At 37.5% G+C, this 15,595-nt stretch overlaps 1 protein-coding gene across 29 annotated transcripts in view; it reads left to right on the forward strand.

The window, feature by feature from the left end:
• Window positions 1-15,595, forward strand: part of SMARCAD1 (SNF2 related chromatin remodeling ATPase with DExD box 1) — an 83,685-nt gene that overhangs the window by 10,411 nt on the left and 57,679 nt on the right. For 26 of the 29 annotated variants that reach the window (NR_164736.1, NR_164724.1, NR_164729.1 and 23 more), the window contains one exon: window positions 8,101-8,278. Coding sequence is in view for 8 of the 29 variants with exons in the window: in NM_001128430.2 (NP_001121902.1) it covers window positions 8,101-8,278 (178 nt within the window). In the remaining 21 variants the exon portion in view is untranslated. The remainder of the gene's footprint in view (window positions 1-8,100; window positions 8,279-15,595) is intronic. The other 3 variants (NR_164727.1, NR_164731.1, NM_001375857.1) reach the window with 1 other exon arrangement.

The following is a 15,595-nucleotide window of genomic DNA, read 5'->3' on the forward strand; positions in this document are numbered from 1 at the left end:
TCTTGTTTATTTTTGTGCTCTTGCTTTATTAAGAGCATAGAGAAAAGTTAATGCTTCATATTTGTCTCTTGACTCTTTGCCTTATATATCCTACAATTTTTATGCATTTCATTATTAGTATGGAGTTGGGATATGTCAGTTATATTTTTATTGTAGGTATAAAGTCTATTATTTAGAAGTCCCTCCTTTAGGTTTAACGCTTTTGCCTTGTTCAGTGTTAATTGCATGACTTTCTTTTCCTTTATGTTTTAATTAATTAATTGTTTTATTTTATTTTTTTTTTGAGATAGAGTGTCACTCTGTCCCCCAGACTGGAGTGCAGTGGCATGATCTCTCTCACTGCAACCCCCACCTCCTGGGCTCCTGAGTAGCTGGGACCTCCTCCTGACTCAGCCTCCTGAGTAGCTGGTACCACAGGCATGCATCACGACGCCCAGCTAATATTTGTATTTTTGGTGGAGACAGGGTTTCACCATGTTGCCCAGGCTGGTCTCAAACTCCTGACCTCAAGTGATCCACCTGCCTTGGCCTCCCAAAGTGTTGGGATTACCGCACCCAGACTCCTTTATGTTTCACCCTTTCTTTTGACTTAAATTTGAAATGGGGTTTTTTCCCTCATTTTGTCTTAGAATGATGTATTAGAAACTACTCTTTAATCTTATATTTAGTGTATTGTTTGTCTTTTCTAGGGTATTTATTAGAGAGTTTGATTCATCTTTTATTAAGATGCTAAAGGTATTTTCCTGTCTACCATGATATGCAAATTAAGACTACAGATTTTATAGTCTATTGTTTTGGTAATAACTCTTTTGAGACAGAGTCTCACTCTGTCACCCAGGCTGGAGTGTGGTGGTGGGATCATGGCTCACTGCAACCTCTGTCTCCTGGGTTCAAGCAATTCTCATGCCTCAGCCTCCCAAGTAGCTGGGATTACAGATGTGCACCACCACGCCTGGCTAATTTTTGTGTTTTTAGTAGGGACAGGGTTTCACCATGTTGGCCAGGCTAGTCTCGAACTCCTGACCTCAAGTGATCTGCCCACGTTGGCCTCCCAAAGTGCTGGGATTACAGGTGTGAGCCACTGTGCCTGGCCATATTTTGGTAATCTTCTAAGAGGGCAAATATATGATGTGTTTTAGTTGGTATTTGAAGGAACTGCCTTGAAAATCAGTTGCCATCTAAAGGATTGAACAGTGTAGAGCAATACATGATTTGAATATCAGAAACGGCAGGGATTTATAATTCTGCAAGACAGGTATAAAGGTTTAGGTGTTTTTATTCTATTTTGGGAGATCACCTTTGTTTATGGATTATCAAATTAATTTAAAGTATTTCTATGTGAATTCATAATCTCCCACTAGTGATTTTTTTTGTTCGAATGAGCCTTAATCTCCTACTAGTGATTTTTTGTTTGAAGGAGCCTTGATCTTGGACCACCGAAAAGGTAAAACCAGTGGCAAGCTTGAATGCTTGTTTTATGGTAGACTTAGATACGAGAACGGGTAAAGGGTACTGGATAAACTTGGGATATAAGATTGTCTTCTTTTATGCATACCACTCATACCACTGGTGGGAAATTTCATTTGGAATTACTCCCTAGGGCCATGGAGTCTTCCTGCATATGCTAATAATGTAAGTTCCCATTACCTTTGGTAATAAGAAAATATCTTTAAAACAAGTTAGCTTTTCCTATTGTTTTTATATGGAAGGACAGGCTGTTTTCCCTCCTGTTCATTTAGCATTTTGTGTATTCTCTCATTGCACAAATTATGCTTATAACATAGTTACTCATGAACATGGCTACTTCACTCCTATTTCAAAAGGGCAAGTTGAACTGTAACTTGCCATTATTTTGCTTTAATATCCCCCACCTGGTACAATGCCTTAAACACAGACAATATTCAGCATATGTCAGAATTGAATAGTAGCAGATGTCTTTTCTTTATAACTGTTTCTGCTTTTCACTATTCTTTCCTCTGTTTTTGTAGTTTTCCTTTTTGCTTCCTGTCTCTTTTATGGTACTACTTAAAAGTGCCTATTTGCTTTGAATTAAAAAGCGTCATTGCAGCAGGAATATCTTTTTAGCCATTGGCTGTTAGCTATTTTGCTGTTGCTTACTTCTGAAAATAGTCCAGATAAACAAATCTAAGTGTTCAGCACTATTCTAATTCTGATTATTGACTATACCAGTATGTTGATATATTATAAACGGCTTTTACTGATTTTATTTATTATTATTATTTTTTTGAGATGGAATTTTGCTTTGTTGCCCAGGCTGGAGTGCAATGGCGTGATCTTGGCTCGCTGCAACCTCTGCCTCCCAGATTGAAGCAATTCTCCCACCTCAGCCTCCCTAGTAGCTGGGACTACAGGCGTGTGCCACCACACCTGGCTAATTTTTGTATTTTTAGTAGACACAGGGTTTCACCACATTAGCCAGATTGCTCTCGAACTCCTGACCTCAAGTGATCTGCCCGTCTCGGCCTCCCAAAGTGCTGGGATTACAGGCATGAGCCACCGTGTCCAGCCCTCATCAGTTTTCAAAGTGTGGTCTGTGAACTTTTTGAATGTTCCCTGAGGACTTCTGAGGGTGTCTACAAGATCAAAACTATTGTCATAATAATATTAAGACACTACTTGCCTTTTTCACGATATTGATATTTGCACTCATGGTGCAAAAGCAATCATAGGTAAAATTGCTGGTGCCTTAGCACCACGGATCAAGGCCAAGGCTCTAGACGGTTCTAGTAGTCAATGTATTCTTAAAATTGTGTAAATGCCAGTATCACTTAAAGACTCTTGAAGCAGTAAAAATTAGTAATTTTATTAAATCTCAACTTAGGAGATGTCTTTTTAATACTTTGTGAAACAAAATGTGAAGTACGCATCACTGCATACCGTACAACAGTGATCTCAAGGGAAGGCGTTTGAGCAATTGCTTTGTGCTAACCAGTCACGTTTCTTTCCCAGAACACCACTGATTCACAAAGTATGGTTATACAAACTTAGGAATTTGGCAGATGTTTTCTCAAAATGAACAAAGTAATACAAAGAAAACAACACAGTATGTATTTCCAGTGATAAAACCCCAGTTTTCAAAGGAAAGTTTGAATTTTGGAAAACTAGTGTCCATGACTGTGAGTTTGACAGCTTCCAGATACTTAGACATTTCTGAGAAGATCAATGGTGATATTAACAAAAGTAATTTTTTAATATAATATCATGAAATGTGTCGACCTTTGGAAGATGTGTATTACTCAGTGAACTAGTATTTTCCAAATGACCAAAGCACAGTATTAGGAAATAATACATGGTTAACGGTTTTAACGTAATAGAATGCAAAATGTTTTTTCGTATGGTTCCAGTTTCCACATTGCAAATAACTCTAAGAAATTACCACCTGTCAAGTTTGGGTTTAGTATCAAAGAAAAATATTCACAATAATCTAAAAAGGCTATGAAAGTACCCCTCCTTTCTCCAACTACATAACTTTGTGAGGCATAATTTTTTCACAAAATGAAATGAAAACAATGTATTGCAACAGATTAAAGGTAGAAACAGATATGAGAATCCAGCCATCTTGTATTAAACCAGAGATTTTGACAAATATAAAACAGTGTCATCTGACTAAATAAATTACTTGTGGCTTGGATATATAGTTTTCATGAAGATGTTGTAGGGGAGCCAGAGATCACTTCCAACTCCCGTTTAGCTCTTATATGGGCTCTTTTGGCTGAATCTAGAAACCAGATCAACACCAGGAAGATTACAAAAGAAAAGCGTACCATTTTATTAGGTCTATATGTACATGGAGATCTACCCGAGAGAAATCAGAAGAACTGACCAAAGCAAGATGCTTTTTTACTTTTTAGACAAAGAGCAATAAATTTGAGAAGAAATGATAGGACAAAGGGGATCTGGCAATGGGCAGCAAACTTTTAGGGGAGTCACTAGGAGACATATGGGGGGTGTAAAACTGGTGGAAGATAAGTGTTACTTTGGTAAGTATATTTAATCAGGTCTGTGCAACCCTCAATTCTCAGTCACTGGTGATAAGGGCTATATATTTGCCCTGGTACGGAGAGGGTACCCCTCCCAGAGGAGCCTTCATGACTTGCTGCATGCAAGAAGAGATGAGTCAGCTACCCATTTCTGAAACTACAATTTCTCCAGTGTTGTCAACTCATATCAATGGTTTGGCATATTTTGAAATGACATGTTTTTCATTACTTCAATATATTATGTTAATATGTGAAATGTTTGGTTTTAAGTAAATAAATATTTAAACATTCACTTTTATTTTCAAGTATGGTAAGTATCAGAGATACAACTGACATAAGGAAAAACTCTTTGGGACTTAAAGAGTACGAAGGGGTTCTGAATTGGAGAAATGTTGTATCATAGCTTTTCCTCACCCAGCCCCCCACCCCCAACATTATACTATTTCCTCTGTTAATCACTTGCCAAGCAGGCTGTGAGGATGCCACTTGGTTCAGTACAGTCTGCATGTTTAATGTATATATTTTGAGAGTATATATTACATATCTGATAAGTGCTAAGTAATTGAGTACATAATGGGAAGTAAGCCAAATTTTATTTTATTTTTTCTGTATTCTTCTGTTCTGTTAACTAAGCATATTAAAGGTTAATTTTAAAAATTGAGGCTGGGCTTGGTGGCTCACACCTGTAATCCCAACATTTCAGGAGGCCGAGGCAGGTGGATCACCTGATGTCAGGAGTTCAACACCAGCCTGGCAAACATGGTGAAACCCAGTCTCTACAAAAAAATACAAAAATTAGCCGGGTGTCGGGGCAGGCACCTGTAATCCCAGCTACTTGGGAGGCTGAAGCAGGAGAATCACTTGAACCCGGGAGGCGGAGGTTGCAGGGAGCTGAGATTGTGCCACTGCACTCCAGCCTGGGCGACAGAGCAAGACTCTGTCTCAAAAAAAATAAATAAAATAAAAATTGTTATGTCTTCACCATGTATTTTGTACTACAGTCTGTTTAAGGGAGAAAAACAAAGAAAAGGTCAATAAAGAGTCATGTTCAGGAAGTTCTAGTTCTCCTAATCCTCACTAATTAAATTTTTAGACCCCCCTACAGGTGAAAAGATTATTCTTCATTTTTTATCTGCAGTCCAGTGCTCTGCCTCTGAGCTGTAACCCCTCCTGTCTTCATTTTTAATAAAGAGGGCCGGGCGTGGTAGCTCACATCTGTAATCCCAGCACTTTGGGAGGCCGAGGCAGGTGGATCACGAGGTCAGGAGTTTGAGACCAGCCTGGCAGATATGGTGAAACTCCATCTCTACTAAAAATACAAAAATTAGCCAGGTGTGGTGGTGGGCGCCTGTAGTCTCAGCTACTCAGGAGGCTGAGGCAGAAGAATCACTGGAGCCCAGGAGGCGGAGGTTGCAATGAGCTGAGATCACGCCACTGTACTCTAGCCTGGGCGACAGAGCGAGACTCTGTCTCAAAAATAAATAAATAAATAACAATAAAGAGAGTTTTTAAGGAAAACTGGACAATTCATTTTCTCATAGCCTTTCCTTTTTCTTTTTTTTTTTGGAGACAGAGTTAAGCTTTTGTTGCCCAGGCTGGAGTGCAGTGGCACGATCCTGGCTCACTGCAGTCTCTGCCTCCCAGGTTCAGGTGAGTCTCCTGCCTCACCTCCCCAGTAGCTGGAACTACTGGCGTGCACCACCACTCCCGGCTAATTTTTTTTTTTTTTTTTTTTTTTTTTAAAGTAGAGACGAGGTTTCACCACCTTGGCTGGGCTGATGTCGAACTCCTGACCTTGTGATCCGCCCACCTCGGCCTCCCAAAGTTCTGGGATTATAGGTGTGAGCCACCGCACCTGGCCTCTCATAGTCTTCCTGAAGTGTCAGAAAGTAGGACTTTATTGTTAAAGTGTTCAATTGACAGGCATTAGCTTTAGTTCTCATTTTTAATACAGTAAAGATCTAAATTTTTAGTTTTATGTATTTTTAGATTTGTGATACATCAGCAAAACTGTAAAATCAGAGTCTAAAGTACCTCTATACTTACTATATAGGAGTTTGGACTGTTTTATTACTTTGTGTATGATGATAATATGTAGGTTTCTTCATGTTTATGGCAATTAACATGGATGTGATTTATTCCACTACAGAGTTGTTTGCTCAACTTGCATGCAATGTTTATAAAATTGTTCTTTTGGAAAAAAGTATGATTTGCTTTTTGCTGTTGTTCCTAGGACTGCATTGTAGGAAATAGAGAAATGTTTGTGTTTTGGTGCTCTCTAGAGCAAATAGTAGTTGTATAGTACTTGGTTGTTGTTACAGGTTGAGTATCCCTTATCTGAAGTTCTTGGGACCAGAAATGTTTCTCATTTTAGATTTTGGAATATTTGCATATACATAATGAGATTGGGAATGGAACCCAAGTCTAAAACCCAGCTGATCTGTATTTCACATACACCAAGTTTGTGCGTAAAACAAAGTTTTTACAGCATTTTTGATCACATGAGATCAGATGTGGAATTTTCCACTCTTGGAGTCATGTCAGTGCTCAAAAGATTTCAGATTTTAGAACATTTTTTATTTTGGGTTTTTGGATCAGGATGTTCAATCTGTATTTACAGATACAGCTCGTGAGCCCTAATAATGATTGTTATAATTTAGTGTTACGATTTAATGGAGGTGGCTAATAGTTTTAGGGTATAACAGTTTAGACTTTTGGACTTGGATTTCAGATCTACTTTCTCCTATATGACTTTGGGCAAGTTGCTTTTTCTCTCAGGGTTTATTTCTCTCTTTCATGGGGGATATGTGTCCCTCATGATTATTGTGAGGTTTAAATGTTTATTATATTTGAAGACTTGATAATGACCTACGAGAGAATTAATGACAGCTATCATTTTTAACCTTTGAACTAAAGATTCAACTGGTCATTGCTTTTTAAAATTAATTTCCTAGACCAGGCACTGTGTTTACTTTAATACGACTCCCTTCAATCTGATCCATTCCTCCTAAAATATGTAAGGGTAAATGGTGGTTTTATTGGCAAAAGGGAAAATAATGTTGGAATTTACCCCTTGGAGAGAAGAGATCTTGGTGTAATACTTTATTGACCTGTTTTTGAACAGACAGATGATACCAATCATACTAGTTTTCTAGAACTGCCATAACAAAATGCTACAGGTTCGGTGACTTAAGAAATTTATTTTTCACAATTGTGTAGCTTTGAAGTCCAAGATCAAGTTGGCATGTGTTTTCTTCTTGGGCCTCTTTCCTTGGCTTGTAAGGTGATCTCCTTCCTGCCTTGTCTTCAAATGGCCTTTCCTTCTTTTGCATCCCGGTGTGTCTCCCTTTTCTTATAAGGACATCAGTCATATTGGACTCAGAGCCCATCCTGTAGGCCTCATTTTAACATAATAATTTTGAGGGTACAATCTCCAAATATAGTCACAAAGAGTAGGGCCCACACACATGACCTCAGTTAAACCTTAATTACCTTTTTAGAGGCCTCATCTCCAAATACAATTACATTTTGAGGTATTGGTGATTGGGACTTAATGATGGGGAGGAGTACACAGTTCAGCCCATACACCACATATTCATAAGAGCTAATATTTATGGGATGCTGGCTATGTGCCAATTACTGAACTAAATGCTTTACATATATAATCTGATTTTATATGCATATTAACTTTGTGATTATTAGTATCTGTATTTACAGAGGAGGAAATTAAGGCTTAGAGAAATTAATAAGATGAAGAGGTGGGATTGGAATCTTTTGGGCTGTGGTGTTCATGCTGTCTCAAGTAAAACCTAAGTGCTACAAAGTAAAAGTACAAGAGGAAAGTATTAGAATATAAAACACAAACCTATGTTATTTTGCAGTTTCCACTAAAGTCTTGTTAGTAAACAACCTGTGAAACAGAAAATGTAACACCAGCCCTGGTTGATGATTAATTTTTTTCTTTAAAAAGTGGTGAGAATTTTGATTTTTAGATTGGAAACAATGAATGAAATTTGAGATTTTAGCACATGATTATAACTAACAACAGATTCGTTTTCCAGTTGCTCAAAATATTTTTCTCCTTTTTATTCTCTTGCAGAAGATTCTAGTGTTCCAGAAACTCCAGATAATGAAAGAAAAGCAAGTATATCATATTTCAAAAATCAAAGAGGAATACAGTATATTGATTTGTCTTCTGATAGTGAAGATGTCGTTTCCCCAAATTGCTCCAATACAGTTCAAGAGAAAACATTCAACAAAGATACAGTGATTATAGTGTAAGCTGATTAATAGATATATTGTATTTGCATGTGTGTGAGATTTTCCAAGAAAAAAACCTACCTAATTTGAGATATTTTGGTGACTTCCCTTTTTTTTTTTTTCTTTTTTTTTTTTGCCCCACCTGCCTTTCTTGGCCACATCTTGGTTATTTTCTCTAACTTATAGTCATGGAGAGGTACAATGTGTGTGTTTTCTGGATAACAGTGATTTTTTTTTTTTTTTTTTTTTGATAACAGTGATTTTGAGAGCAGATACTTAATTTCCTTATTATGGAAGTTTAAAAGAATTGTTTAGTACCTTTGATCGTGTATAACTGCTTTATGATTTATTCTAAAGTCCATGAATCAAGTCATTTTAACATGTTTATTGGAAACAGTCTGAGCTAGGCACTGTTTTATGATTAGAAATACAACAGTGAACAAACCATCCCCAGCTTTCTTTCTGCCCTCACACAGCTTATATTCTAGTCAGGTAGAAAAGTAATAAAAGATGTAGTGTGTCAAAAGATAAGTGTTATGGGCAAAGGGAAGAGGAATAGGGAGTTAGGGTCAGGGAATCGTTTCTTTTTTTTTTTCTTGTTTTTTCTAGAGGTGGGGTCTTGCTATGTTGTCCAGGCTGCTCTCAGACTCCTGGCCTCAAGCAGTCCTGCCATCTCAGCCTCCCAAAGTGCTGGGATTACAGGCGTTAGACACCACACCTGGCTCGAGGGTCAGGGAATGGTTTCTAAAGAGCGTGGTCAGAAAAGCCTCAATTGAGAAGACAGTGCTTAATTGAGAAGACAGTGCTGGAGCAAAGACATAAAGGGGGTGAGAAAGTGAACCATGTAGATGTGGGGGAAAGAGTATTCCAGGCATTGGGAATATCATGTTCAGTGACTATATTATGCCTGGTGTTTTTGAGGAAAGTGGGAGGGACATGATGCGGAGTGAAGGATCTGAAGCCATAGTGTAAAGGATGAGATGAAGGAGGGGCTTCATCACATTAGTTCCATAGGCTGTTTGGTTTTTATTCTGACTGAGATGGGAATTCCTAGGAGAATATTGAACAGAGAGGTAAAATTATCTGAGTTAGATGTTTAAAAGGTCTTAATGACTGTGAGGGAGCAGTAGTAAAAGCATAAATATTGTTGTAATAACCCATCAAAAAATGATGGAGACTTAGATGAGGCTAGTGCCTGTGGGAGGGATAATAAGTGGTTAGATTCTGGAATATACTTTGAAGATGGAGCAAGAGAGGATTTGTTGCTGGATTTCATGTGGGTTGGGAGATAAAGGAGTCAAGGATCACCCTAAGATTTTTGGCCTGAGCAAACTGGAAGGATGGAGTTACTAGGTACTGAGATAAAGGTGACTGTTTCTGCTGTGGGTGGGCAAACACCTTTTGAAGGAAAGTCAGCAATTCATTCTTGAACATGCTATGATTGAGAACACTCCTAGACGTCTAAATGGAGATGTCAAGTAGGTATAATTAGATTTGGGACATTTGAGTTCTGGGGAGAGATTACATGTCTGAATTTACTAGGTGACAGAGTATTGGTTTGCTATTTAAAGCCATATGATCAGATGAAATCAGTGTAAGGGACACTAGTATAGTATAGCTGAAGAAGGGAAGTCCTCTTGGTTGAAATACTGAGGCTAGGGGAACTCTGGATTTTTAGAATCAGGGAGATGAGAAGAAACCTGTAGAAGGTTCTGAGGAGGAGCAGCTATTGAGGTAAAAGGCTACATGGTCTTCTAGAAGTTAAGTGAAGATAAAGTGTTGTAAGAAAGAGCAAGAGATCGGACTGTCTACTTCTGATAAGATGAGGACTTCATCTTAAAATGAACTTTTCACATGAAGCTGTGATAAACATGCCTAATTCTGAAATGTACTCCAAGATAAAATGTAGTGAAGATCCTGCATGGTTAATCCTGAGGAAAATTGTCATATTTTGGAAAAATTGTAGAAAAGTTGCAAAAAAAAATGCATTATCAACTCTCACAGTCTTTTCAGAATTACCCTTGTTAGCATTTTCCCACAATTGCATTATCACTCTTCGTAAACAGCAATTACAATAACTACTGAACACTTTGCCTGCAGTATTTTCTCATTTATCTCCTAAAAACAAGGTCATTCATTCATTTGCATATTAACAGTAATATTTCAAACCCAGAAATACCAATTAACACTAGTACAGTACTATTATCTAATATACTTTTCATATTTCAATTTTGCCAGTTATACCAGTAATGTCCTTTAGAGCATTGCTACTCAAAATACTGATTTATAAATAAGGAATATGTCTTAGAATGCAAATCAGGGTACTGATTCCTTCACCAAGAATATCTTGCAGTGAAAAAAAAAAAACAGCTGAACTAAGCAATGTGCTCAGTAACGTAGTTGTTTACGTTCTGTTGCTAGTTCCTTATGTTGTCATGGACAGACTACAGTTGGAGAACTAGCAGTCAGTCCCTGGACCATATTTTCAGTAGTACTTTATGGTAATTTTTTTTTTACAGTGGATTTAGTTTGTCATATCTCTTTAAACTCATTTAATCTGAAACTATTTCTCAGTCTTTTTCTGTTTCTCAGGATACTGACCTTTGAAGATAATAGGCCAGGTTTTTTTAGAATTTTTCTAAATTTGGGTTTAACTAATGTTTCTTCATGGTTAAATTTAGGTTAAGTGGAAAGACTACTACATACTACTACCTAAATGATCTTGTGTCGTCCTCAGTGTGTCATATCACCTTGAGGCATGTGTCAGGAGACACATGATATCCATTTGTCCCATTATTGTTGAACTTTGATGACTCAATTAACGTGGCCCCTGCTAGGTTTTGTCTGTCAAGTTACCATTTTTCCCTTTGTAATAAATAAGTTATCTGTGGAGAGATACTTTGAGACTGGGTAATAGTCCTATTCGCTAGCCAGCTTTCACTCAGTAGTTGTAGTATCTATTGATTTTTGTCGGATTAATTTATGATAATGATGGTGGGAAAATGTGGTATACTAACCAGTGTTCTAGAACTTAACACTTGTATTTGGTAGTCTGTAATGTTCCTTTTTCTCCCCATTTGTGCTTTTATTTATGTGGTACAATAAATATCAAAATGAAATTATAGATGTGTACTTATTCAGTGGTTTATAATTTAGTACTATTATTATTCATTTTGGTGCACAAATTTCTCAGTTTTGGCAGCTGAGGGCCTCTTCAAACAGGCTGTTGTGTTTGTTTGAGGGATTCCTATCATTTTCCTTTCTGGAACAAGGTATCCCAGACTTCTACTTCTCCTACCTCAAGCCTGAAATAAAAATTAGCAATTTCTCCAAGTAGTTCTGGTTCTTTTTAGTAGGAAATGATACTTGGAAATATAGAAACTTCTTCTGTGTTCTTTCTTTGCTGCTGGTGAGGTAGGAATTAATGTCATTGCCCTTTCAGCAGAAGGACCTAGGAAATACTCGGGTGTAGGGGGTTGGAGTTAGGGAGAGAGAGAAGGAAAAATGTGAAAATGTGTGGTGTTTTTTTTTTTTTAATCATTTGTTTACAGTGATACTGATAATTCTAATCTATCACTACAGGTCTTTTCTTTGCCTCTCATTCTGTTTTCTTCTGACAGTGAGAACCCTGACTTCTACCAGTATCAGTATATTTTACTAATCTGTTCAGTCATCAAGTATGCATAAAATAGTTTTAGAATAGCTACACCCATACTACTTGACCATTGAGGGTATACAGTCAATGCACTTGGATTATTAATTAATTAATTTAAATGTTTTGTTATTCATTTGAAATACCATTAATTATTTTGTATTCCTTTTAGGGTTTTTCCCTTGTTCTTTTCTTTTAAATTTTACTTTCAAATATTTAAAATATGAACAAGATTCCAAAAATCAAAACTCTACAAAGGATATACTCAGATCCCTTACTCTCTTTCTGTCCCTTCTCCATTCAAACCTTAGAACTAACCAGTTTGTTTAGTTCATTGTCATACTTTCGTGTATTTTTTTTTTTGTTTCTTACACAAAAGATAGCATACTACATGTGTGTATATTCATTTGTTCTTTTATTTACTTAGCATATATGTATATATCTCCTGGAAATCATATCAGTTCTAGAAATTTTTATTATTTTTTGCAACTCCATAGTACTACATTGTGTGAACATTCCTTATTTTATTCATTCATTCCCCATGTATGGGCATTTTGGTTATCACAGTTTCTTAAGCTTGACATTTATTGACATTTGGAGCCAGATAATTCTTTGTTGTGAGGTGCTGCCCTGTACATTTAGGATGGTTAGTTAAGTATCTCTGACCTCACCCCAGCAGATGCCAGTAGCATTTCCCTAGTCAAGACAATCAGAAATATCTCCAGACATTGCCAAATATCCCCTTGCAGCAAAACTACCCCCTACCCCAACTTTGAGAACCCACTGATGTGTATGCTAGAAACTCTGGCAGTAGATAAAATCTCCTAGGAAGCATTCATAGACAAGAAAGAACTGAAGGCAGAATCCTAGGTAGCTTCAGCAGTTGAAGAAGGTGAACAAAGGAAGAAGAGCCTGTTACAGAGATTCAGAAGGACAGGCTGAAAGGTAAAAGGAAAATCAGAAGTAATGTTGCAGAACCCCTGAGGTGAGGGTGGGGCCAAATTTTCAAGGATATGTTTGTCAACAATGTACAGGACAACACAGGAAAACTTAGATAAGCAGTGAAAAGTTTTTATTCCATTCAGCAGTTTAAAAGACATTATTGTCCTTAGTGAGAACAGTTTCACTGAGTTGTTGTGCGAAAGATGTAAAAACAATAAGTTTGAGAACTCCATAAGAAAGGATGTAGAAAATCAGTCTAATAAAATCTGTGAAATGGAGGAGAATGGGGTTTTTTGTTTGTTTTTTTTCTTGCTGCTGTGTCCACAGTGCCCGGAAACCCTGGCACATGGAATTAATTGAATTAATGCAGTCTTGAGCACATTGCCGATTGGGGAGGAAGAGCTTATGAAGAGAGAAAAGATTCAGGAGAAACATAGTAGATAGTTAGAGCAGAGTCTTGTAGATGTAGAAAGGGCTAGAATGCCTTAGCAGTGAGAGGGGACTTTGTCTTTAACAGGAAGGAACTTCTTTATCTGAGACTGGAAAAAAGAGCAAGTGGTCAACTCTGTTGTTCTTACAGGTTTTTTTCTTCTGTTTTTAAAGTTTCAAGCACACAAGAAAATGAAATAGTATATAAAGAACACCTGTATACCTTCCACCTAGATTTAACAGTTGTTTTCCTTATTTGTTTATTGTGTCACCTATTATTATTTTTAGCTGAAGTATTTTAAATTACGGACATCCCAGCATTTCTCCCCTTAATACTGGTTATGTATCTGCCATCTATCAATGAACAATTCTCTAATATCATTTAACTTGTACCTTAGGTTCAGATTTCATGTTTTTTATAGCTGATTTTTTTCAAAACCAAGATCTAAATTACATTTGGCTATTAGGCTTCAACTGTGTTAATCTAGAATGGGCCACTCCCCTTTTCTGCTTCTCTAAAGAGATCAAGTCTTTTCTCAGAAAAAACAGATTTTTCTTTTTCTTTCCTTTTTCTTTTTAGACAGAGTCTTGCTCTGTTACCCAGGCTGGAGTGCAGTGGTGTGATCTCAGCTCACTGCAACCTCTGCTTCCTGGGGTCAGATGATTCTCATGTCTCAGCCTCCCTAGTAGGTGGGATTACAGGCACCCGCCACCATGCCAAGCTAATTGTTTTAATTTTTAGTGGAGATGGGGTTTCACCATGTTAGCCAGGCTGGTCTTGAACTCCTGACTTCAGGTAATCCACCCACGTCGGCCTCCCAGAGTGCTGGGATTACAGGTGTGAGCCACTGCACCCGGCTGGTTTTTCTTTTTCTTCATGACATTATTTATTTTCTATCACTTGTATTTCCTGTAGTCTGGAAGATAAATCCAAGCCATAGTGATATTCATTGTCAGCATCAATATTTATTACATCATGAGGCACATGAATTTGTTAGATCATTGAGTCTGATCACTGGATAAAGGTTGTGACCACCAGAAGAGTAAATATCTTTGAAAGTGGTTATCCAGGGCAGGAATTATAAAAGGATTTTAACCTGAATGCTTTCATTTTCTCAGTCACCTAAGAGGCAAGGTCAAGTAGGGAGCAGGGAATATAGAGAGGCATAATGAAAATTCAAAGTTGAGTACATCAGGAATGAGAAGTCTAGGTATAATAATGCAAAGGAAATGCATGTGATTGTCCTCAAATATTTGAAGGACAGGCATAGTGATAAAGGAAGAGGTGTATTTGCCTCGTTACTTTAGAGCGGTTTCTCAGAGCTGATCTCAGGAAGTCAACCTAGAAGCTTTTGAAATACGTACACTGGCTAGGCATGGTGGCTCACACCTGTTATCCCAGCACTTTGGAAGGCCAAGGCGGGCGGATCGCTTGAGCCTAGGAGTTCAAGACAAGCCTGGCAGAAACTCTGGCAGTAGATAAAATCTCCTGGGAAACATGGCAAAACCCTGTCTGTACAAAAAACACAAAAATAGGTGTGGTGGCAAGCACCTGTGGTCTCAGCTACTCAGGAGGCTGAGGTGGGAGGATTGCTAGAGCCTGTAAGACAAAGGTTGCCGTGAGCCAAGATGGCACCACTGCACACCAGTCTGGGTGACAGAGTGGAACCCCGTCTCAAAAAAAGAAAAAACACACATATTCTGTTCTTTGGAAATTTGCTTTTAGATGTTCTTAGGCATCACATGTTGTGCCATAAAGGACACAACAGAAATAACATGAGTACATATAGAGAAATTGCATATTCTAGATATGTGTCTAAGAGAGCTATTCAGAAATAGAATTAGCAGCATAGCAAAGTCTGAGTTCACTAATGTTAAGATTATACCTAAGTATAGTCCCATCTTGCTTTCATTCTCTGATCTCTATAACTTACATTCATTTGTTACTGTTCTAGTTCTGATCTCTAGAGTGCCTACCATGTTTGAAAACCAAAATTTCAAAATGAGATTTTTTTGTTTAGGGAATAAATGAGTAAAATTTGACTCAAAATGTCTTTTATAAAGGATAAACATATGAAGTTAAATAGAACAGGAATAAAGTTAGTTGTTGGAGAATAAACCCTCATATGAAATAAATATTCCCTGTTTGCTGAGGAAATGTTTTGTTTCTGGCAGAGATTCCTATATTCAATGGGACCATTCTGATTTTAGCAGTTAGATCCTGATCACACCTAGGTAGGCCTGAAAATTACTTTATCTTTGTATCCATTTAATCTTCATAATTTCTTAGGAGTAGCATAACTTCGTCTGA

Source organism: Homo sapiens, chromosome 4 (assembly GCF_000001405.40).
Source record: "Homo sapiens chromosome 4, GRCh38.p14 Primary Assembly".
Lineage (NCBI taxonomy): Eukaryota > Metazoa > Chordata > Mammalia > Primates > Hominidae > Homo > Homo sapiens.